Source organism: Homo sapiens, chromosome 10 (genome assembly GCF_000001405.40).
Source record: "Homo sapiens chromosome 10, GRCh38.p14 Primary Assembly".
Lineage (NCBI taxonomy): Eukaryota > Metazoa > Chordata > Mammalia > Primates > Hominidae > Homo > Homo sapiens.
Window position 1 is genome coordinate 47,500,209 of NC_000010.11, and position 23,460 is coordinate 47,523,668.

The 23,460-nt window shown below is 40.9% G+C and overlaps 2 protein-coding genes and 1 pseudogene across 4 annotated transcripts in view; all 3 read right to left on the reverse strand.

Moving 5' to 3' along the window:
• The window catches only part of ANXA8 (annexin A8), a 523,804-nt gene that overhangs the window by 32,216 nt on the left and 468,128 nt on the right, over nt 1-23,460 (reverse strand). The gene's annotated exons all lie outside the window — the stretch shown is intronic.
• BMS1P2-AGAP9 (BMS1P2-AGAP9 readthrough) overlaps nt 1,545-23,460 on the reverse strand; it is a 51,748-nt pseudogene continuing 29,832 nt past the window's right edge. Inside the window, exons 9-16 of one of the 2 annotated variants that reach the window (NR_160414.1) lie at nt 23,096-23,283; nt 22,658-22,726; nt 20,291-20,359; nt 17,615-17,649; nt 9,963-10,063; nt 7,340-7,375; nt 3,981-4,032; nt 1,545-3,335 (exon numbers count right to left, since the gene is read on the reverse strand). The product of NR_160414.1 is annotated as a BMS1P2-AGAP9 readthrough, transcript variant 1 (transcript). Of the gene's footprint in view, nt 3,543-3,980; nt 4,033-7,339; nt 7,376-9,962; nt 10,064-17,614; nt 17,650-20,290; nt 20,360-22,657; nt 22,727-23,095; nt 23,284-23,460 lie in introns of both variants that reach the window. The other variant, NR_160415.1, reaches the window with a different exon arrangement.
• On the reverse strand, nt 1,646-23,430 carry AGAP9 (ArfGAP with GTPase domain, ankyrin repeat and PH domain 9). The gene is made up of 8 exons (NM_001190810.1): nt 23,096-23,430; nt 22,658-22,726; nt 20,291-20,359; nt 17,615-17,649; nt 9,963-10,063; nt 7,340-7,375; nt 3,981-4,032; nt 1,646-3,335 (listed from the first exon to the last, which is right to left on the reverse strand). The coding sequence occupies exons 1-8, from the start codon at nt 23,316-23,318 to the stop codon at nt 1,944-1,946; spliced, it is 1,977 nt and encodes a 658-aa protein (NP_001177739.1). The 5' UTR covers nt 23,319-23,430; the 3' UTR covers nt 1,646-1,943.

The following is a 23,460-nucleotide window of genomic DNA, read 5'->3' on the forward strand; positions in this document are numbered from 1 at the left end:
TCCAATTTCATTCTACACACTTTCTTGGTATTTAAACAGCTGCTGTTGCTCTTCATTCTGTAGCTCTACATCAGATTCATGCTCTAGTCCTGTATATCCAAATGATGACTAGAGGCTGCCGGCTCTGCTCTTTCAAAGGCACAATGAGCGTAGCCCGTCTACAAAACTCTCCCTTTTCCAATCCAGCTTTCCCTCCTGCATCACCTATCTCTCTACATCTGGAACCATCGGCAGCTGCCTTCATAAGGCACCTCAGTCTGGCATTCGGAAAACCACCCTGTCTTGCCAGAGCCTCTTGGTCTTGGGTAGCAAAAGCTGTATGCAATCTAAATCAAGCTTTCAATCATGAGAAATCACATTCCTTCTTTTCCCTTTGTAATATACTCATGTGTTTTTTTTTTTCCTTTCTCAATAAGCAAATTGTACCACCATCTTATTCTGAGATGCTCCTTTTTAAAAGCTGTAGATCACATTAATGGAAGTGGTTACTGCTGGGAATATTTTCCATGTGCAATGATCTGTAACCCTCTTTTTCTTTTTTTTGAGACCGAGTCTTGCTCTGTTGCCCAGGCCAGAGTGCAGTGGCACAATCTCTGCTCACTGCAAGCTTTGCCTCCTGAGTTCATGCCATTATCCTGCCTCAGCCTCCCAAGTAGCTGGGACTACAGGTGCCCGCCACCACGCCCAGCTAATTTTTTTTTTTGAGATGGAGTCTCGCTTGGTCGCCCAGGCTGGAGTGCAGTGGTGCAATCTCAGCTCATTGCAAGCTCCGCCTCCTGGGTTCACGCCATTCTCCTGCCTCAGCCTCCCGAGTAGCTGGGACTACAGGTGCCCGCCACCACACCTGGCTAATTTTTTTTTTTTTTTGTATTTTTAGCAGAGATGGGGTTTCACCATGTTAGCCAGGATGGTCTTGATCTCCTGACCTCATGATCCGCCTGCCTCGGCCTCCCAAAGTGCTGGGATTACAGGTGTGAGCCACCACGCCTGGCCATTCCCAGCTAATTTTTTGTATTTTTTAGTAGAGATGGGGTTTCATGATGTTAGCCAGGATGGTCTCAATCTCCTGACCTGGTGATCAGTCCGCCTAGGCCTCCCAAAGTGCTAGGATTACAGGTGTGAGCCACTGCGCCCAGCCTAACTGTAACCCTCTTATCTCAACTAGCTGACATTATTACTTCACATCCAGTTCAATTTATAAATTAAGAGAGGTGCCATGGGCCTGGTACGGTGGCTCACCCCCATAATCCCAACACTTTGGGAGGCCGAGGCAGGTGGATCACGAGGTCAGGAGTTCGAGACCATCCTGGCTAACATGGTGAAACCACGTCTCTACTAAAAATACAAAAAATTAGCCAGGTGTGGTGGCAGGCACCTGTAGTCCCAGCTACCTGAGAGGCTGAGGCAGGAGAATGGTGTGAATCCAGGAGGCAGAGCTTGCAGTGAGCAGATATCATGCCACTGCACTCCAGCTGGGGCAACAGAGCAAAACATCGTCCAAAAAAATAAAAATAAAAATAAAAATGAAAAAGAGGTGCCATGTGTACAAAAATCAATGCACATTTATGAAATTTTTTTTCAAATATATTTTCACACATTTTATCTAAATACATAATACAGAAGCCTGTGTGACTTGGGCAATGTGGCCAGGAGGGCCTGAGACTAACACATCCACCTTGGCAAAAGGACATAAAATATGTCTTATGGTCAGAAAAATCAACATTTTGTGTATTTACTTAGTTTACGAAAAGTACTGAAAATGCTATTACTAGCTGAATTTGTGATTTCCTTTTGAAATTCTGAGTTATCCTTATTTTTCCCATTTTGTTTTTGCACCAAGGAGACTGCAGTCAAATAAAACAGATACTACACGCACTCGTCGGGGCAGCCGTACTGCAGAAGCACGTTGATGCACTCCTGGCTGGAGGCCTGCCGGGCGTAGGTCAGCGCTGTGTTCCCGTGGGCATCTCGGGCCATGACGTCCACCCCGTCAGGAGCTGCTCCAGGACCACATTCCCCTTGCGGCAGGCCAGATGGAGTGCCGTGCAGCCGTCTCCCTCCCCACAGGTCTCGTTCACCTCCTCACGGGAGCCATGTGCCAGCAGCAGGATGGCTGTCTGCAGGTCCTCATCAGTGGTGGCCCGCAGCAGCTGCTGGCCCAGGGACAGCTCAGTGCAGGGTAGTGGGGCCAGAAAGAGCTTCTCCTCATATTTGGAACGGATCCACCATTCCTTCTCTTCCCTCGTGGACTTTATTGAGGGTTTTGTCTGCCCCTGGCTGCTCCCTTCCCAGATGCTGTTGGCTAGCTCATTGCCAATAGATGACATAACCTTCCTGAGCTCAACTGGCCAGTCATCCAGCTCCAGAGATCGCACACGGGAAAGGCGGGTGCCAAAACTGCGGTGGATACCTGAGCATTCAATACACATGAGGACTCCCAAGTTCAAACTGGCCCACTTAGGATTCTGGGTCTCACAGTCCACACAGTGGGCGTTCCCACGCATGTTTTGGATCGACTGCAGGGCCATGGCCTCACTCTGGCTGGTCAGCTGGGACTTGCTTTTACTGCTCTTGCATGACTGCAGGCTGGCCAGGATCTGGCTCTGGATGGCTTGGACCCAGGCATCCCGCTCCTCATACGTCGTGGCTTCAAAGTGCCACGTTTGGCCAGTGGCAGACACAATCATAAAGTTGTTGGTGCTTTTCTTCTTTAGGTGTTTCTTTTTATTGGCATGAGGAGAGGGGGGCGGGTTGAGCTTGGGGCTGGTGGTGCTGGAGATACCGGGGCTGAAGCATATGGAGTCACCCAGCCCGGTGTCCATGTCCTTGGATAGGCCATTGCTTTTAGAGCTGGAGATGGGTGCACAGGCTGATGTGGCTAGGGATGGCCACTTTCCTGGGACTTTGATGGTAGATGTCCGAAGGTCAATCTCTTTTTTATGAATATTCTTCATATAATCACCTAAGCTTGAATAATAGGTGAGCACGCCATTGGAACACAGGGTGACGTATTTCTTTTTCCATGTCTTCAGCCATTTTCCACTTCGCTTTAAGAGCATGCCCTGTTTAATGGGGATGGCTCTGCCGCTCCCGATGGTGTCAGCATGATTCTCCGGGGCTTTCCTCTCTTTGTCTGGGTCACTCCCTTTCTCAGATGTAAACAGGTTGGACCAGCGCATGGACCGCTTGCAAACGGGGGTGGGTGTGTTGGCAGTGGGAGGAACACTGAACTGAGGGTCCTCCTGGCTGGTGCTGGGAGTCGGTGGAATGGAGGAGGAATAGTTATTTAAACTCCCACCTCCATTTCTTTTCTTCATAATGTGCACGGTGGAAACCTGTGTGGAACAGGAGGAGGAATGGCTTCAAAAATTGGGTAGTGGCTTGCAGGATCCTATAGACAGCTCACAATTACCTTTTAAAAAGATACATTTTCTGGGCCAGGCATGGTGGCTCACACCTGTAATCACAGCACTTTGGGAGGCCAAGGTGGGTGGATCACGAGGTCAGGAGTTCAAGACCATCCTGGCCAACATGGTGAAACCCTGTCTTTACAAAAAAAAAAAAAAGAAAAAAAAATTAGCTGGGCATGGTGGCACATGCCTGTAATTCCAGTTACTCGGGAGGCTGAGGCAGGAGAATTGCTTGAACAGGGACCTGGGAGGCAGAGCCTGCAGTGAGCCAAGATCGCGCGATTGCACTCCAGCCTGGGCTACAGAAAGAGAGTCCATCAAAAAAAAAAAAAAAAAAAAAAAAAAAAAGATACATTTTCTGTTGTTTGGATAGTATATTTACTCACACTAGCTCACTAACTAAACAGAGCTGCAGATCAGTTCTTACTCCAGCACATTCTTTTTACAACACTTAAGATGACTAAATGCAACATGAAATGGGGAAGATTTAAAAAAAGATGGCTTTGACTTCAGCATGAAACAGATACAAGTGTACGATGAAAATACAACCTCAATAAAAGTGCCACTTACCGCAAATGAGTGTAACTGTTCATCAGGTATGCTCAAAGATCTATCTGCATCTCTATAAAATAAGAAAGTGCATTACTTCAAAAACTGTTAATATCTTAGTATAATATTTGTTGAGTAAAATACTTCCTCCTGTGTGCTTTGGTGTTTACTTTACCAAAGCAGTTTTTACAAATTCTTCTCCTGGATCCTGACTTGCAGAGGGTTTCCTGACTTCTTCTTTCTCAGCACATCATGGTCTGTACCGTGAAGCCTTTTATATGATAACCAGTCAGAAATGCCCATGAGTATTGACTCTCCCTAACAGGCCATGGCAATAAACCAAACATATTTTCACTCTTCTAACCACACATTGAAACACAAGAATGTTCTACAAAGCAGTAGTAGTAAACTTTAATAAATGTAAATGTGATTCAGATTTCTTAGCTTCCTTTCTCTTTAGTTCTCTGTAGTATACTCTCATGATGTTTTTATGTATTTTCTGTTGTCTGAATGACAAACTCATCTACCTTTTTAAGAGGCCAGTCTTTGAGGAACTTTAAACTTTGTAAAACTAATGCATTGTGCCTGTGTATAAACCAGTGGTTCTCCAAATGTGCTCTGTGGACCTCTCGGGATCCCGAAGACCCCTTCCAGAAGGCCTAAGAGGTCATAACTGTTCTTTTTTTTTTTTTTTTTTTTTTTTTTTGAGACCAAGTTTTACTCTTGTTGCCCAGGCTGGAGTGCAATGGTGCGATCTCGGCTCATGGCAACCTTCGCCTCCCAGGTTCAAGTGATTCTCCTACCCCAGCCTCCCAAGTAGCAGGGATTACAGGCACCTGCCACCACTCCTGGCTAAGTTTTGTATTTTTAGTAGAGATGTGGTTTCACCATGTTGGCCAGGCTGGTCTTGAACTCCTAACCTCAGGCGATCCACTTGCCTCGGCCTCCCAAAGTGCTGGGATTACAGGCCTGAGCCACTGTGCCTGGCCAACACTGTTCTGAATCATACTAATTAAACCTGAGAAAGCTGATGAAAAATTTTAAAAATTTGTGAAAGTAATACAAAGTCATTGCCTGCTTTTTCGTTGACACTTGCCATGATTGTATAAAAGCAAAAGTAGGTACAATGGCTGGTTTCTCAGCATAAATCAAGGCAGTGGTACCAATTACATTAGTAGTCATTCTATTCTTCACTGTCCCCTACAGGTAAAAAACATAGCCTGAATTTCTTAAGAACGTCTTTGATGAAGCAATAAAAATTAATGTTGTTAAATCTTGACATGTCTCTAATATTCTGAATAAGTGGAAAGTTAATGAGAAGTGCTTTTTTTTTGTTTTTAAAGAATCCGTGATTTAACTGTGAACTGAAAAATCACTTTTTTCACAGAACATCATTTTTATTTAAAAGTACAACTGGGCCAGCGCAGTGGCTCACGCCTGTAAAATCCCAGCACTTTGAGAGGCCAAAGCAGGCAGATGGCCTGAGCTCCTTCAGGAGTTCGGGACCAGCCTAGGCAACATAACGAAACCGTGTCTCTATCAAACATATAAGAAAATTAGCCTGGCGTGGTGCCACACATCTGTGGTCCCAGCTACACAGGAGCCTGAGGTGAGAGGATTGCTTGAGCTGAGATCATGCCAATGCACTCCAGCCAAGTGACAGAGTGAAACTCGGTCTAAAAAACCAGTTCAACTATCATTCTCAAAAATAAATGAAGTGAGAGGTTGTCACTTCAAGGGAAATACGTATTTGTTCCCAATGATAAAATTTAAGCTTTCCTGTGGACTTTGAAAAACTTGTTCCTTCTACTGTAGGCTTGGCAGCTTTTCAATACTTAAAGGCCTGTTAAAGTAAGATTGGTGGTTAAACTAAAAGTGATTTTTGACACAATAAAACATAAACCAATATATTCCAAGTAACTAATGCATGATATTATAAATGCAAGTATGGAGCAAAAGATCCATTTACTGTGCAAGAAAGATCAATGAGTACTGATGGAATAAATTTATTAATATGTAAAATGCCACCGTAACTAATTTAAGAAACCACCACTTGTGAAGTTTTGATTTAGTGTTTTAACAAATACCCACAACTGTCTGAAAACTTTAAAAATACACCTTCTACCAACTACATATTTGCATGAGGTTAGGTCATCTTATTGCTTCTTTTTCTCTTTTTTTGAGACAGAGTCTCTCTCTGTCACCCAGGCTGGGGTGCAATGGCAAGATCTCGGCTCACTGCAACCTCCACCTCCCAGGCTCAAGTGATTCTCCTGCCTCAGCCTCCCAAGTAACTGGGACTACAGGCATGCACCACCACGCCCAGCCATTTTTTGTACTTTCAGTAGAGGCGGGTTTTACCATGTTGGTCGGGCTGGTCTCAAACTCCTGACCTCAAGTGATCCACCCACCTTGGCCTCCCAAAATGCTGGGATTACAGGTGTGAACCACTGCGCCCCACCAGCTTATTGCTTTTTTTGTTTGTTTGTTTAGACAGAGTCTTGCTCTGTCACCCAGGCTGCAGTGCAATGGCACGATCTCAGCTCTCTGCAACCTCCGCCTCCCAAGTTCAAGCGGTTCTCCTGCCTCAGCCTCCAGAATACGTGGGACTACAGGTGCGTGCCACCATGCCCAGCTAAGTTTTTGTATTTTTAGTAGAGACGGGGTTTCGCCGTGTTAGCCAGGATGGTCTCGATCTCCTGACCTTGTGATCCGCCCGCCTCAGCCTCCCAAAGTGCTGGGATTACAGGCGTGAGCCACTGTGCCCAGCCTCATATTGCTTCTTTGAAGCAAATTGCAAAGAAAGCTCTAGAGAATCCATTTGTCTCCTATTAAGCTCAACATGAGAGACTTTAAATAATATAAACAAATGACACACTTTTTACTCAACTTTTTGTTGTAGAAAAGTTTTTTTTCAATGAAAAACTTCTGTTAACAATACTGTTCTCAAGGAATATTTTCTGTTTTTATAAACTGGGTCATGGGTTACTACTGACATCTAGTTGGTAGAGGCCATGAATACTGCTAAACTCTCTGCAATGCACAAGACAGTCCTCACAACAAAGCATTATCTAGCCCATAATATCAACAGTGGTAAGGCTGTGAAATCTAAACTAAAAATAGATTTTGAAAAAATTTCAATTGTATAATTCTACCACACTAAATATCAATATAATCAATATAAACATATACTCTTTGAGATTCTCAATCATTTAAGAATTATGAGAGTCTTAAGGAACAAAGAAAATACAAATAATTTGCTTCGATATTTTAGTAGGCACAATACAGCTTATGATGTCTAGAGCTGTGACCTAACACTGAGCTTGATATCTTGCAAAGTAATTAGCTAGAATAACAAGACAGGTTTCTAAAAAGCTCACCTTTGTGTGATATGATGAGGTATCTCCAAGGTCACACTGTGGAAGGAAAACAAATTCATAACAATAGATGTTATCATTTGTTAGGCCTGCAGACATTTTTTAAAAGGGGGGCAGAGGAAACTCTCCTAGCGGCCCTGAAATTCAAATCTTCTAGTTCAGAACAGTACCATAAGGGCACTTTGTTTTCATTTCTTTGTTTTTTACAAAAATATGAGAACCAAAATGCAAGGAAATATGCCGTTAGAAGACGCGTTTCTGTTGGTGATTACAATATATAAATAATAACAGATTTCCCTTTTATATGCTTTTCTACCGATGAAACCTTTCGTCCCATGCGATTTATTTTATGTATTTATTTATTTTTTGACCCAGAGTCTGTCTCTCTTGCTCAGACTGGACTGCAGTGGTGCCATCTTGACTCCTCACAACCTCCACCACCCAGGTTCAAGCGATTCTCACGCCTCAGCCTCCCAAGAAGCTGGGACTACAAGTTTGCGCCACTATGCCCAGATAATTTTTTTTTTGGGGGGGTGGTGGGTGGAGTTTCGCTCTTGTTGCCCAGGCTGGAGTGCAATGGTGTGATCTCGGCTCACCACAACCTCTGCCTCCCGGGTTCAAGAGATTCTCCTGCCTCAGCCTCCCAAGTGGCTGGGATTACAGGCATGTACCACCACACCCAGCTAATTTTGTAGAGTGAGGCTCAAAACAACTGAGGGAAGGTAAATCTCAATTCTACTAATAGGTCTACACAATATTAGCACTTTTTAAAAAGCCTGTAACATTAGCATGTGAGATGGATATGTCTATAGTGCTTCAAGTAGTTTTCATCTCTGAAATAATTTTAAAATCACAGAATTTAAAGTTACATGCTGGAAAGGACCAATGACCTTATGTGACATTTAATTCAACACTTGTTTTACAGATCAGGGAAACAAACCTTAAAACTGACTTGCCCAAGGTCCCACCAAATAGGAGCAGTTTCTCGTCCTAAACTCAAATTAAGCAGTGGCTCTCAAACTTTGCTGCACATTAAAATCGCCTGAGAAGCTTTAATATCTGCCTCATCTTCCACATGAGACATTTTAATTTAATTAGTATTGGGTATGGCTTTGGGCATCAAGGTTCTTGGTAAACGTTTCCCAGGTGATTTCAATCAGCAGCAAAGTTTGGAATGATTGAGCTGGGGTGAAAATCAGAATCTTCTGGGATGCTTTTCTTCACAGAAAGATGCCTCACATCCATCCCGATTTTCCTAAAAGGCTTCTCAGTGCCTAGAGATAGAGGGAAAGTGGAGATGGGAAGATACATGTATTTGCAGACTTGCATTTTGAAAAAAACCTTGCATAAGTGATCTCAGCGAGTTCCACCTATCCCACTGACAACAGTGCACTACTGATTCATGATAAAACATTTTTCAATATATCTTCTTGAAGCCAATTTGCCCTATTAATTTGTTCAATAACTTTATTTCACCAATAGTGAATACACCAAATGATTATTTCTCAAACTTGCTGGTGGCAAATTAAAACTTACTATACTCTCAAAAGTAGACTTCTAAAAAGTAGAATAATGAGGAAAAAAGCACAAAATTAGTTTCAGCAAAATTAATCTTCAAAGCTGCTTTTGAATTATATGCTAACTTATCAAAATCTTTGGAACTCAGAAGAAGCCAGGGACTCTAGTCAAAGTAATTTTTGTGTATGTGTGCTCAAAGATTTAAGAGACTTGGCTGACTACAGACATTTAGTGATTACTCAATAGGTCCCAAAGCTCAGGACTTGAGACAGAGTTTGAGTTCAGTTTTTGTTTGAAACACAATTTCCTCTCAACTATTGTTAAAAGGGAGGGAGGAAAGTGACATTATTATGAGTGTAAACTTGCCACTTTTAATTGAAGTAAAAGTTATTGACAATTGAATTAGCTAAAAAGGCTAGTGCATTTGAAACAAAATTGTTTATAAGCTAGTTATGTTTACAGAATGAAAAGTTAAATTAAAGATAAAGACATTAATATTCTAAATTAGCACTTTCCAAACTGTGTTCTAAAAATCAAGACTAATAACCCAAGGAGATGAGAATAATGTACACTGGACGGCCCCTGTGGAGCTGGTGGTGGTGTTGGTTGTTGTTCCTTTTAAAATAAACTTCATCTCAGGGTGCTCTCAAAGCGCATCTTTGTGGCCCACGAGGTGCTCATGCACAATGGGAGAAATTCAAATGCAGATACACTGTGGTGCCAGAAGAAGAAAAGCTGTTCCTTCTTCCAAGGATAATGTCCAAAGTAGTGCACACTGATTTGGGCCTATGATGCATTGAAAAACTAAGTTTCCACAAAAAACATTCAATAAAGGGAACCTATCCTTCTCACTGTGTTCAACATTGTCTAAAGGCATAAAGACATCAAAAAGACACACTGTTTCTGGGTTTGCTTCTTTGCTAACTGATTTTTCCTTCCACCACGACGTCTAAGATTAAAAGAGAAACTGATACTTAATATTCAGAATCTGAATATCAATATATGGTTGACTCCAATTTCTTAAGCTGATTGCTGAAGAGGACAACCAAATGGCTGAAATAATTTCCGAATAAAGGAATCTGTCCCTCGGCAGCATAGTTGTACTCACGATATTATTGTCATTGTAAGATAATGCTGGATGGCTGTGCTGTCATCAAGGAATATTGTCGAACACGAGCTGTATTGTTGACTGAAACGCTCAGTAGATACCTGAAGGGGAAGGGAAGTGTAAGTCAAACTTATCAAAGTGTATTTTTTTCTCAGTTAAAATGTCAAATGACAAAGCACTAAGATATGTCTTACACTCCATGAACTGCCTGAGTGTGGTATCATGTGCAATCTATAGAAAACCCATTGGAGGCTCTCAACTTCCAGAGATGATGTTTAAGATATGGGTTATAAAATGCTGCCCTTAATATGGTACCTGTCATCAAACCTAACAAGGATTTTATGAATTACCGTTAAAAATAATGGGAAAAGTCGGCTTCGCCGGGCGCGGTGGCTCACACCTGTAATCCTAGCACTTTGGGAGGTGGAGGCGGGCAGATCACGAGGTCAAGAGATCGAGACCATCCTGGCTAACATGGTGAAACCCCGTCTCTACTAAAAATACAAAAAATTAGCCGGGCGTGGTAGCAGGCCCCTGTAGTCCCAGCTACTCGAGAGGCTGAAACAGGAGAATGGGGCGAACCCAGGAGGCAGAGCTTGCAGTGAGCCGAGTTCGCGCCACTGCACTCCAGGCCGGGAGACAAAGTGAGACTCCGTCTCAAAAAAAAAAAAAAAAAAAGAAAGAAAAGTTTAAAATGAGATTTCATATTTTTTTCTACAGCAATAAAAAGCAGCCAAGAATTTCTATTAATTAATTAATTAATTAATTTATTTATTTATTTATTTATTTTTGAGACGGAGTCTCGCTCTGTAGCCCAGGCTGGAGTGCAGTGGCGCGATCTCGGCTCACTGCAAGCTCCGCCTCCCGGGTTCACGCCATTCTCCTGACTCAGCCTCCTGAGTAGCTGGGACTACAGGCGCCCACCACCATGCCCGGCTAACTTTTTGTATTTTTAGTAGAGACGGGGTTTCACCGTGTTAGCCAGGATGGTCTCGATCTCCTCACCTCGTGATCTGCCTGCCTCAGCCTCCCAAAGTACTGGGATTACAGGCGTGAGCCACGGCGCCCAGTCCTTCTATTATTTATTTACTACGATAAAATGTAGTGTATTAAATAATCCTGCTACAAGAGCACTTTATTGCAGTGAATACAAGACTAATGCATTTACTAAATTACTAATCCTAAACGTATTATTTCAGGTGATATTGTTACAAAAGAAGTGTTTCAGATTCAGGGGCTCTGTGTGCCAGGGCTGCTAGGCCACCAACAAGTGAGGAAGCCATAGGTTTCTCTAGTCCTATTTTCTTATGTGGAGGATAAAAAGAGTATCACTTAAATATTCTCTCACACCCTAAAAACAAATGACAACTTAAAAAATCTAACTTTCACTTCATGTTTAAATAAGACTGCCAAGACATGACTCAAATGAGACTCTTGGAGAATACTTTGCATTCACTTCAAAACTTGATCAATTGCATTCTATAAATCATCTGACCTGCACCTAGCCATTTTCCTGCTCTACCCCTGCTCTCTGCCTAGAATACTGCTTTTCTCTTTCCTTGCTTCAGCAAGCTCGACTCCATCTACCCTCTTGGATCTCTTTGTCGGCAGCCACACCAAAAAATGTATTTTTATACACTAATTAGTTGAATTCACCACTGCTTACAAGATGCTAATTCCTGCAGAGTATTCCCCTCATGAGAAAGTATGCCTCTCCATAAGAGTAAGGGAGGGCCCTTACTCTTCCTACCTCCAGCTGCTGAGCATAGAATTTTGAGTAAATCCAAAACTTCGACAAGTGTTTGACAATTCAGTCATCATTTGGAAGGTAAGTCTTACTACATTTAATTACAGCAAAAACACTACTAACAGTTTACTCTTTATAGGTATTATTTAAGGTAGTCACAAAATAGAAACAAATAATCTAACGTCAGTCAGCATAAATGAGAGTATGAAATTTTACAATATTTAACAAGAAATGGAAGGGGTTACTTAGTAGTTTTAAGGTTTAATGACAAAAACTAGAAAATAATCGTACCTAGTAATTTAGTAAGTCAAAACCAAAGCCTTACCATCAAAGGTGCAGTACCCATTGGATGCGGATGCCCACGCACTGACTTCTGCTGTACCTGCTGCCTCTCATTTTAACCCATTAAAAATACTAAAGTTGTTTTCCTTGTAGACATCTTTCACCTCCTTGGTTAGGTCTATTCCGAAGTACTTTATTTTATTTTAGTTTATTTTTGCAGCTATCAGAAAAGGGGTTGAGTTCTTGGTTTGATTCTAAGCTTGGTCGCTTCTGGGGTATAACAGAGCTACTGATTTGTGTACATTAATTTTGTCTCCTGAAACTTTGCTGAATTCATTTATCGGTTCTAGGAGCTTTTTGGAGGAGTCTTTAGGGTTTCCTAGGTATATGATCATATCATCATCAAACAGCAACAGTTTGACTTCCTCTTTACTGATCTGCATGCCTTTTATTGTTTTCTCTTGTGTGATTGCTCTGGCTAGGCCTTCCAGTAGTATGTTGAATACAAGTGGTGAGAGTGGGCATCCTTGTCTTGTTCCAGTTCTCGGGGGGAATGCTTTCAACTTTTCCCCCTTTCAGTATTATGTTGGTTGTGGGTTTGTCATAGATGGCTTTTATTACATTGAGCTATGACCCTTGTATGCTGATTTTGCTGAGGGTTTTAATCATAAAAGGATGCTGCATTTTGTCAAATGCTTTTTCTGCATCTGTTAAGATGATCATGTGATTTTTTGTTTTTAATTCTGTTTATGTGGTGTATCACATTTATTGACTTGTGTATGTTAATCCATCCCCGCATCCCTGGTATGAAACCCATTTGATCATGGTGGATTATCTTTTTTTTATTTTTTGAGATGGAGTCTTGCTCTGTTGCCCAGGCTGGAGTATGCAATGCGGTGATCTTGGCTCACTGCAACCTCTGCCTCCGAGGTTCAAGCGATTCTCCTGCCTCAGCCACCCGAGTAGATGGGATAACAGGTGAGCGCCACCACGCCCGGCTAACTTTTGTATTTTTAGTAGAGATGGGGTTTCACCATGTTGGCCAGGCTGGTCTCGAACTCCTGACCTCATGATCCGTCCGCCTCAGCCTCCCAAAGTGCTGGGATTACAGGTGTGAGCCACCGTGCCTGGCCCGATTATCTTTTTGATATGCCGTTGGGAACTACAAAACATTGCTGAATGAAGTCATGGACACAGACAAATGGAAAGACACCCATGCTCATGAATGGGTAGAATGAATATTGTGAAAATGACCATACTGCCAAAAGCAATCTACAAATTCAATGCAACTCCCATCAAAATACCACCATCCTTCTTCACAGAACTAGAAAAAACAGTCTTGAAATTTATATGGACCAAACAAGAACCGGCACAGCCAAAACAAAACTAAGCAAAAACAACAAATCTGGAGGCATGACATTACCTGATTTCAAACTATACTATAAGGCCATAGTCGCCAAAATAGCACGGTACTGATATAAAAATAGGCACATACACCAATGGAATAGAATAGAGAACCCAGAAATAAACTCAAATACCTATAGCCAACTGATTTTCAACAAAGCCACCTAAAACATAAAGTGAAGAAAGTAAACCCTATTCAACAAATGGTGCTGGGATAATTGGCAAGCCACATGCGGGAGAATGAAACTGGATCCTCAACTCTCACCTTACACAAAAATCAACTCAAGATGGATCAAGGACATAAATCTATGACCTGAAACCATAAAAGTTCTAGAAGATAACATTGGAAAAACCCGTCTAGACACTGGCTTGGGCAAAGACTTCATGACCAAGAACACAAAAGCAAATGCAACAGAAACAAATAGGTGAGACTTAACTAAAGAGCTTCTGCACAGGAAAAGGAACAATCAACAGAGTATACAGACAACCACAGAGTGGGAGGAAATCTTCGCAGTCTATACATCTGACAAAGGGCTATTATCCAGAATCTATGAGGAACTCAAACAAATTACAATTACAAAAATATGGAACCAGCCCAAATGCCCATCAGTCAATGAGCGGATAAAGAAACTGTGATATACATACATATTATATATATATATATGAGGAATACCACCTCAGCCATAATAAGGAATAAATTCATGGCATTCCCAGCAACCTGGATGGAAGTAAGACTATTATTCTAAGTGAAATAACTCAGCATGGAAAACCAAATATCATGTTCTCTTTCCTACGTGGGAGCTAAGCTATGAGGATGCAAAGCCATAAGAATGATACAATGGACTTTGGGGACTTGGGGGAAAGGCTGGGAGGAGGGTGAGGGATAAAAGACTACAAATTGGGTTCAGCGGATACTGCTCAGGTGATGGGTGCACCTAAATCTCACAAATCATCACTAAAGAACTTAGTCATGTCACCAAATGCCACCTGTTCCCCCAGAAACCTATGGAAATAATAAATAAATAAATAAAGTACAGCATTTTTCTCAGCAAACATAAAATAAAACAAAGACTAAAGTTCATATTTTTCACTCTCCTTTTGGGCAGGACAAATTTTAGATAGGTTTTTAAAGAATTAGTAACTTTTTTCCTTTTTCCGAGACAGGGTCTCCCTTTGTTGCCCAGGCTGGAGTGCAGTGGTGCAATTATAGTTAACTGCAGCCTCAAACTCCTGAGCTCAGGTGATCCTCTGCCTCAGCCTCCTGAGTAGGTAATATGAAAGGCGCATGCCACGAGGCCTGGCTAATTTGTTATTTAACCTTTTTGTAGACATGAGGTCTTGCTATGTTGACCAGGCTAAAAATGAACAAATCTTAATTAACTTAAATATTTCTAACACCTTGGGCATTCAGGAAAACAGCTCCATTTATGTTGTGAAGTAATGGGAAGCATATGGCAGTGGATAAACTTTGAATGAAAATATTAAACAAGGCCTTAGGAGAAAAGTGTAATATGCTTATTATAGATACATTAATTTAAAAAATTCTCTGGCTTAATATCATTATACTCAAATTAGACTTTGATTTAAACATAGGTCCTAAATTTGGATTAAATATAATAGATTGACCACAAATTTATTTCGTCTCCCTCTGGAAGCCTCATTAGTCATAAAATAAAGGTTACACCCATGACCAGCACAGAAGGTTGACAGAGATAATTTTTAGTAAATGCTGAGACATAAAAAGTAGACAAAGGAGTGGTAAATAACACAGAAACACAACTTTGCTGACTACAGAAAGTGACTGGAACAGAAGCGAGCCAGTTTGTCTTGCAGAACTAAAGGCAGGTTGTGAACTTACAGGCAAATGGCACTTTGGAAAGTAGGGTAAAATGTAAAAAAAAAAAGCCAGCAAGGTCAGTTGCAAATCTCTAACTAGAGCCCAAAGTCTACCTGTCCTTCCATCTGACAAGAAACTTAGATGTGTGTTCTCTGGATATATCAAACCTGAGAATTTCTGGCTCAGAGATACTATGGCTTAAACCTGAGATATAAAGAAAACTGTACACCAAAAATGGAACTCCAACTTTCTTTGCTAACTCTGCTTTTCCTTTCCAGGCCTGCTTTTACTTTCCAGGCAGAAAATTGGGAGATCCTTCTCAGAAGAAACTGAAATGTCTTCAGTAAAGATCCCCAGATAATACACTGAGGTCTCCCAAATGAAAAGCTAGTCAGGCTTCTAAGGCCTCACACTGAGTGCTATCAGTTAACAGAAATCCTGCTTCCAAATAAAGCAGGCCAGGGACCACCACACATTGGAGGGAAGCCTCCAAGAAAAGAGATCAAAACAATAGAAAAAAGGAATTGATAGGACCAGTCAAAATCAGGAGCAAAACTTTAAAAAAAAAATCTTAAAACACTCTCAAAAAATATAAAATTCAATAGAAATAGTAGAGGATAAAGTCACAGAATATCCCAGAACTAGAATAAAAAGACAAACTGAAAAAAATAGAAGGGGAAAAATTAAAAATCAATGCAGGTGTACTGGTCTAAGCAGCCTAGCATCTGAAGAACAAGACTATCAGTAAAAAAGTAACAGAGAAAATAAAAAAAAAATTCTCAAGAAGAGATAGTCTGCAGGTTTAGTAGCCTCAATAAAATGAAAAGATCCCCAACAAGCTGTTATAAAATTTCAGAACCTTAGAGAGAGAGATTCTAAAAAGCTTCCGCAGATAACTAAAACCTGGTTGTAAATAACATATCACACACTGGCAATAGATTCAAGAACAACACTGTAATAAGAGCACAACTGCAAAATGTCTTCAGAACCATACAATTTAGATTCAACCTAGAGGTGTACTCTCTATCAAAGAGGAGGGATTTTAACATCTCCACCCAGGAAAATGTGTTCAAGTACAACTAGAGACGATAACAGGACAGAAGGAAACACAGAATCTAGGACTCAGGAGATCCCACACAAGACAGCAGTTACGTGAGATCCCAAAAGACTTTAAGGAGTTAGCCCAGAAAAGCAGACATTGAGCATATCTAGGGAAACCCACGCTATATTGAACTAGGATGACAAAAGGCCAAAGAAAGTTGCCCCCCACACACACATAAAAAGGAACAGATGTGTTTTTGCAGATGGAAAATATCTTTGAAAGGCATGTGATAAATGCTACAATACTTGGGGGAAAAACAGCTATTAGAAAATAGGCAAATGAATATAGTCAGAAAATTAGCTTCATGCTAAAAAATAATGGATGTGAAAGCAAACAGAGCACCCAGAGGCTACTTAATGATATTTGGATAGATAAACTAACATAGGCTAGGAAAAAAGAAGATCCAGGAGAATTGCAGAAGTGCTCAGATTTCAGAACTGTTTCAGAGACAGGATGAAGGACATGGAATGCAGAGGCACAGTGAAAACACCATATGACTTAGCAGTGAATAATATTTGCAGAGTCATAATCATGTAAATATTACTGATTTAATTAAAAAGTGTGCTACAATTGGAAGAAACACAGGGAGAAACATAAGATCATGGTGTAGCGAGGAAGATACGCTTTTACCCGCTGTGATAGAAAGTCAATAGACAGTGCTGGCAATTAACTTAACTATTCTATTTTTGTTCTTTCATTAAAAATAAGATTAAATATTTAAGGCACTTTTTTTTTTTTTTTTTTTTTTGAGACAGAGTTTCGCTCTGTCGCCCAGGCTGGAGTGCAATGGCACGATCTTGGCTCACTGCAACCTCCGCCTCCTGGGTTCAAGTGATTCTTCTGCCTCAGCCTCCTGACTAGCTGAGATTACAGGCATGCACCAGCACGCCCGGCTACTTTTGTATTTTTAGTAGATACAGAATTTCACCATGTTGGTCAGGGTTGTCTCAAACTCCTGACCTCAGATGATCAGCCTGCCTTGGCCTCCTAAAGTGCTGTGATTACAGACGTTAGCCACCATGCCCAGCCTTAAGGCAGATCTTTTGAACCAGACTATTGAAATTTAACTTAAATGTCAGAAATCTTTAAAAGGTGGACACGCTAAGCTAAACACTTTTCTGGATAAATTTAATACTCAGGAAAATAGAAGAGATTTAGAAAATCCACAAAAAGAGGTCCATGCTACCACCACCAGGTCCACATTGTAATTTAAAGAAATCAAGAGAGACATCCTTTTATGTCAAACTATCAATTTCTTAACTATTTGAGTGTTTACTTACATGGTTTGTACAGTTGCTTCTTCTTATTTCTACAACTAAGAATAAAAAAAAAAAAAAACTGGTCACTTCTGATACAAATACCATAAAATAAAAGTAGTTGTTAACATCTTACTGATTACTCCTATGTAAAATGAGACAAAATTCCATTTAAAAAAATAATTTTCAATAATTTATAATTTAAATTATCTGGCATGATTAATTTCATAAGTCAAATCTAAAAACTTAGTTTTTCATTTAGTTTACTTTTTGTTTCTATTACATACAAATGAAAGAATCCTCATGTACAAAAGAAAAGGGTAAAAAAATTAGGCCAGATGAAAAATTTAGCTAATAAAAAGTTTAACTGTTGCATATATGAGCCATGATCCATTAGTATTCTCTCATTCTGCATTTACACATAGCTTACTTTAATTATCAGACTCTAAGAGCTAACAGCTCTAAGAACTACGTCCTGACCAGACACCTATCTCTAGATGCAACAGAATCCCTGTAAGCATCTTGAACCACACTTAGTGGTTATCTACTAATATGTCACTAAAAACAAATCAAAATTAAAAAACGGTCTTTACACAACTGGAAAGTAACGTATCTTAATTTTTTTTTTTTTGAGATGGAGTCTCACTCTGTCACCTAGGCTCGAGTGCAGTGGTGGGATCTCAGCTCACTGCAACCTCTACCTCCCAGGTTCAACCAATTCTTCAGCCTTAGCCTCCTGACTAGCTGGGACTACAGGCACGTGCCACCATGCCTAGCTAATTTTTTTTTGTATTTTTAGTAGAGACAGAGTTACACTGTGTTAGCCAGGATGGTCTTGATCTCCTAACCTCGTGATCCACCCACCTCAGCCTCCCAAAGAGCTGGGATTACAGGTGTAAGCCACAGAGCCTGGCCTAAATTTTGATGTTAAAATGAGTATACAAACCTAATTGGACATGGTGTCTGAAGCTCAAAAAATCATTTTTTTTCCTCTAAAAAGAGGCCAGAATAATAAAAGCCCCAAGAGGGACTTGGGCCATGCTTTGTTTCCTACACTGCCTCTGCCTTTGATGCTGGAAGGGCCTTGTAGGCAAAAGTTCCTACCACCGAAGAGTGAGGGACATGGAATAGCTTTTCTTTTACTGCTTCCATGCTCTCTAGGTGTGAGAAGCCCATGGCTCTGGAAGGAACTGGGAAATACAATTCTGATATGTTTTGGATATGTTGCCCCTCCAAGTCTCATGTTAACATGTGACCCTTAATGTTGGAGACAGGGCCTAGTGGGAGGCATTTGGGTAATGGCAGTGGATTCCTTATGAATGGCTTGGTCCCATCCCCATGGTAATAAGCAAATTCTCATTATGGTAATTTAAAAGGCTGTGGTACTGGCCAGGTGCGGTGGCTGAAGCCTGTAATCCCAGCACTTTGGGAGGCTGAAGCGGGTAGATCACTTGAGGTCAGGAGTTTCAGACCAGCCTGGCTAACATGGTGAAACCCTGTCTCTACCAAAAATACAGAAATTAGCCAGGTGTTATGGTGCCCACCTATAGTCCCAACTACTCGGGAGGCTGAGGCAGGAGAATTGCTTGAACCTGGGAGATGGAGGTTGTAGTGAGCCAAGATTGTGCCATTGCACTCCAGTCTGGGCAACAGAGTGAGACTCCATTTCAAAAAAAAAAAAAAAAAAGAGTGTGGTACCTTCCCCCTTCCCCTCTCTCTTTCACCGTGTGGAACCACCTGCTTCCCCTTTGCCTTTTATCATGATTGTAAGTTTGCTGAGGCCCTCACCAGAAGCAGATGTTAAAGCCATGTTTGTACAGCCTGAAAATCTTTGAGCCAATTAAACCTCTTTTTTGTTATAAATTACCCAGCCTTAGGTATCTCTTTATAGTAATGTAAAAAATGAAGACAAATTCTAACCAGAAATAACTGACTCAAGATGGGCAAAGTCTACTCAAACTATAAAAACAAAGGTTACAAACTCCCGTGTTTTACTGTGCTGCATTACTTCGCACACTATTATAGAACCCTCACTTGTATTCTTGCTGTTTAAGTCAACTGGAAAACTTGGCTGTGTATGGCTTGTTGGCAAATAAATGAGGATTTAACATAACATTAGGGAAATAAGCAGGAGTAGGGCATGTTTAAATTTACATGACATCAAATGAAAAAGTTAATAACCTAAAACTTTTGAGTAGCATGAACTTGGATGTGGTAAATGAATGTGGTCAGAGGACTGTGTAAGAGGAGGCCCAAATCACAGATTCAATCCCTGATGATAAACAACTATGTTTTTTAATTTGTTTAAATGAAAACCAAGCTGAAGCCTAAGTTCTATCATTCATCTTTAAAGTGTACTTTTTGGAGCAAGGGAAAAGGGATTATAAATAAAGATAAATCCATTAATTATAAATAAAGATAAATCCAAGAATTATAAAGAGAAATCCATGACTCCTCCAACACATGACAAATTAATTGTGTTGATAAAAAGATGGCAAAATGTATAAACAAAAAGGTTACACGTTTTCACTAACATCATAACAACTAAAGGAAAGTATATCACATATTAAAATAAGACAAGTGAACATGTGAAAAGGTGAAAAATTTAAACCAATATGAGTTTTTCTAAATACTTTCTATAACCTGATCAAACAAGAGCTTTTATTCTTTCTCTTGGCGGAAAAAACAATGTTGTCTCACCATCTGTTTGAGAGTTCCTCTGGAATATTGTGCTTGCCTCTGGATTGGCAGAAGAGTTAAACTCCAAAGCTATATGCATAGAGGAAGAAAAGAAAAAGAGATGCAATCATTGATAAAAATTTATCAACTCGTTTATTCGGCTGCTGCATTTAGGCTATTTCACTATCTCTACTTTGATTCTTATCCATTGAAATGAATGTATAGACATAAGATAGAGCCAGGCAAGATGGCACATGCTTGTAGTCCCAGCTACTCAGGAGGCTGAGATGGGAAAATCACTTGAACCCAGGTCAGGAAGTTGAGGCCAGCATGAGTAACACAATGACACCCTCCTTTATTTAAAAAAAAAAAAAAAAAAAAAAAGAAGAAGAGGTAAATTTTGGCTTTGAGTTGTGTAAAATCAACTTTGCATAAAATAAATCAAGATGGCAGTAAGTTTTAAAAGACAGTCTATTTTATAGGCAAAATATAAGATGTATTCTAGAGTTTTTAAAATTTTTAAAAAGTAAATTCATCATATCTGTCACTTCCATTTCATTCTGAGGACACAGAACCTTAGTTCTCTTGAGTAGCTGTCTTCCATAGTCATGTGATATCTCTAAGTTTTCATTTCTTCATTAGCAATACATAGGGAGAACATACACAGGCCTTATTTGTATTGGAAAGGGCCAAGTGAGACATACATAAACTGTGTTGTAATCCTAAAGAATGACAATAAAGAGCCATTTTTGGGCTCTCATCCAACACTACCCATCTACTAACTGGTGTGTAACATCCATCAGGCTTTCCAAACATCACCAAGCAGAGTATAAGTTTATACAAGTACTTACATGCTTTGTGTATAAAGGTACAATCAATTAATTCACACAATGCATTTGTTTATTCTAAAGCAATCCTTAAATATCTTGAAATGTGAAGATAGTACTTCCAAGTTACAAAGTCACACTCATAATGAGTCTTAATTATCCTACCTCTTTAAAAATTAAGAGCCCAACCAAAGTTTAAATAGAAGAGCTATAAGACATTTCCTCTAGAGTAATGAAATCTCTGGCATTTAAATGAAACCAATAAGCCAACTGGATTTAATATGTTTATGATGCAATGTTTTCTATTTTGAAAATTTCAGTTTTTATTCAAGAACCATATTATTACCCAGAATTACTTTTACTTAGATTCATCTCTTTGCAAAATTTTAGAGGCAAACCAACTAATTGTTTTCTGTTTTCTACCGGCTCCCATCCCCTGCCTCTGCCAACAGTGTAGAGACTAAAAAACTCCAACTCTTTCCTTTTTTTTTTGTGAGACGGAGTCTCGCTCTGTCACCCAGCCTGGAGTGCATTGGCGTGATCTCTGCTCACTGCAACCTCCACCTCCCAGGTCCAAGCAATTCTCCCGCCTCAGCCTTGTGAGTAGCTGGAACTACAGTCATGCGCCACTACGCCCAGCTAATTTTTGTATTTTCTTTTTTAGTAGAGACAGCGTTTCACCATGTTGGCCAGGCTGGTCTCGAACTCCTGACCTCAGGTGATCCGCCTGCCACAGCCTCCCAAAGTGCTGGGATTACAGGCGTGAGCCACCAAGCCCAGCCAAAACTGTAACTTTCTTATCTTTGAACAAGATGCTATTGTCAGGAGGGGAAGGGACAAAGGGGGAGCCACGGCAACAAACACTCTTACAGGGAAGTCTGACATTTTAACCTGCAATCTTTATATTACACATTAAAAGTCTACGTTGACGTTTCATGTCTTTTGAAAGTTTTGACCGTGAACCAATCCCCACCTCTCTTTTAGAACAAGGAGGTAAATAAAGTCTGTTAAGTCACCAGAATAAATCTGGAGACACATTTTCTGTTAAAGTAAGAATTTTAAAGTAATCAGAGCCTCATAGGTAAACTCCTTTGAGAAACCCCAAACACACACACACAACCATTTTTCTGCAGCCCCGGCTGTGACATTTTATACCTTTCACAATTATTTTAAGCACTCTCCTTTTTTCTTTTTCCTTCTGTGTTCAAATTACAGTTAGAAGAAACTAAGCAGCTTCTATCAAGGTGACTTAAAGCAGCCCATTAAGAATACCATATAGCCTCTCCCGTGGCAACCTCCATTCTGATTTTAAATAAGAAATCCCCAAATATTTGAATAGGAACTGTCCTGAGATTTGGCTACTTTAACAAAGGAAACAATTAGGCACTTACCTGGTTCCTTCACTTAGGTACCATCTGGATAGGTTCAAAGAAAAATTAAGATGGGTACTGAAAAGTTGGGATATTTGAGTTTTTATTGAGAAAAGGAAGAGAATAGCTCAAAGAAGCCTAAACAAAGTCCCACAGGATAATAAACAGAGCTACAGACACTGTTGTCTCACCATCTGTTTGAGAGTTCCTCTGGAATATTGTGCTTGCCTCTGGATTGGCAGAAAGGTTAAACTCCAAAGCTATATGTATAGAGGGAGAAAAGAAAAAGGACGTAATCATTTATAAAAATTTATCAACTCATTTATTCAACTGCTGCTTATTCGACAAGAGCCATAAATAAATGGTCCCATGCCAGCCTGGGAGAATGAGATGAGAGAGCAAGAACTGGGCGATTGGGAGGGGAGGTGAAAAGAAACTGACTGGACTCGGTGGGGAAAGACTAAGGGGTGGGAATTCAAGGCAGAGCCAGCTTTTGTTCCTGGCCAGCCCCCGGGAAAGCTGGCTACAAGCAGAAAGGAGCTCGAAGTGTGGGATGCCTCAAAGGGAACCTTGGGGACAGCAGCAGCCAGAGGCAAACCGAGGGTAGATGGCACCTATCACCTCCTTACCTTCAGGCATCTCCCGGTCACGAACCTGGTGCATGTGGAGGTCCTCACCAACTTCAACAGTCACCTCAGCAGGCTGTACAGCAGCAGCCATGGGCGCTCCTGCCATCCTGTCCTCAGCTCCTGCCTCATAGATCTCAGATTCAGAGGGACACACCGACCCCTGCTGCTGGTCAAACTCGAGGCTGACGCTAGGGTGCACACGACAGGTCAGTATGTTCCCCATGGGGCGCCTCTACTGTCTGCCACCACCTGTGCCTCTGCTCACAGCTTTGGCCACGCACTCCCGCTGTCCTAGGCCGAGGCTATGCTGCACTTGCAGAGATGGTCTTCCCGCTCCTCGCCTGCCCACCTCACAGTGCGGCCCC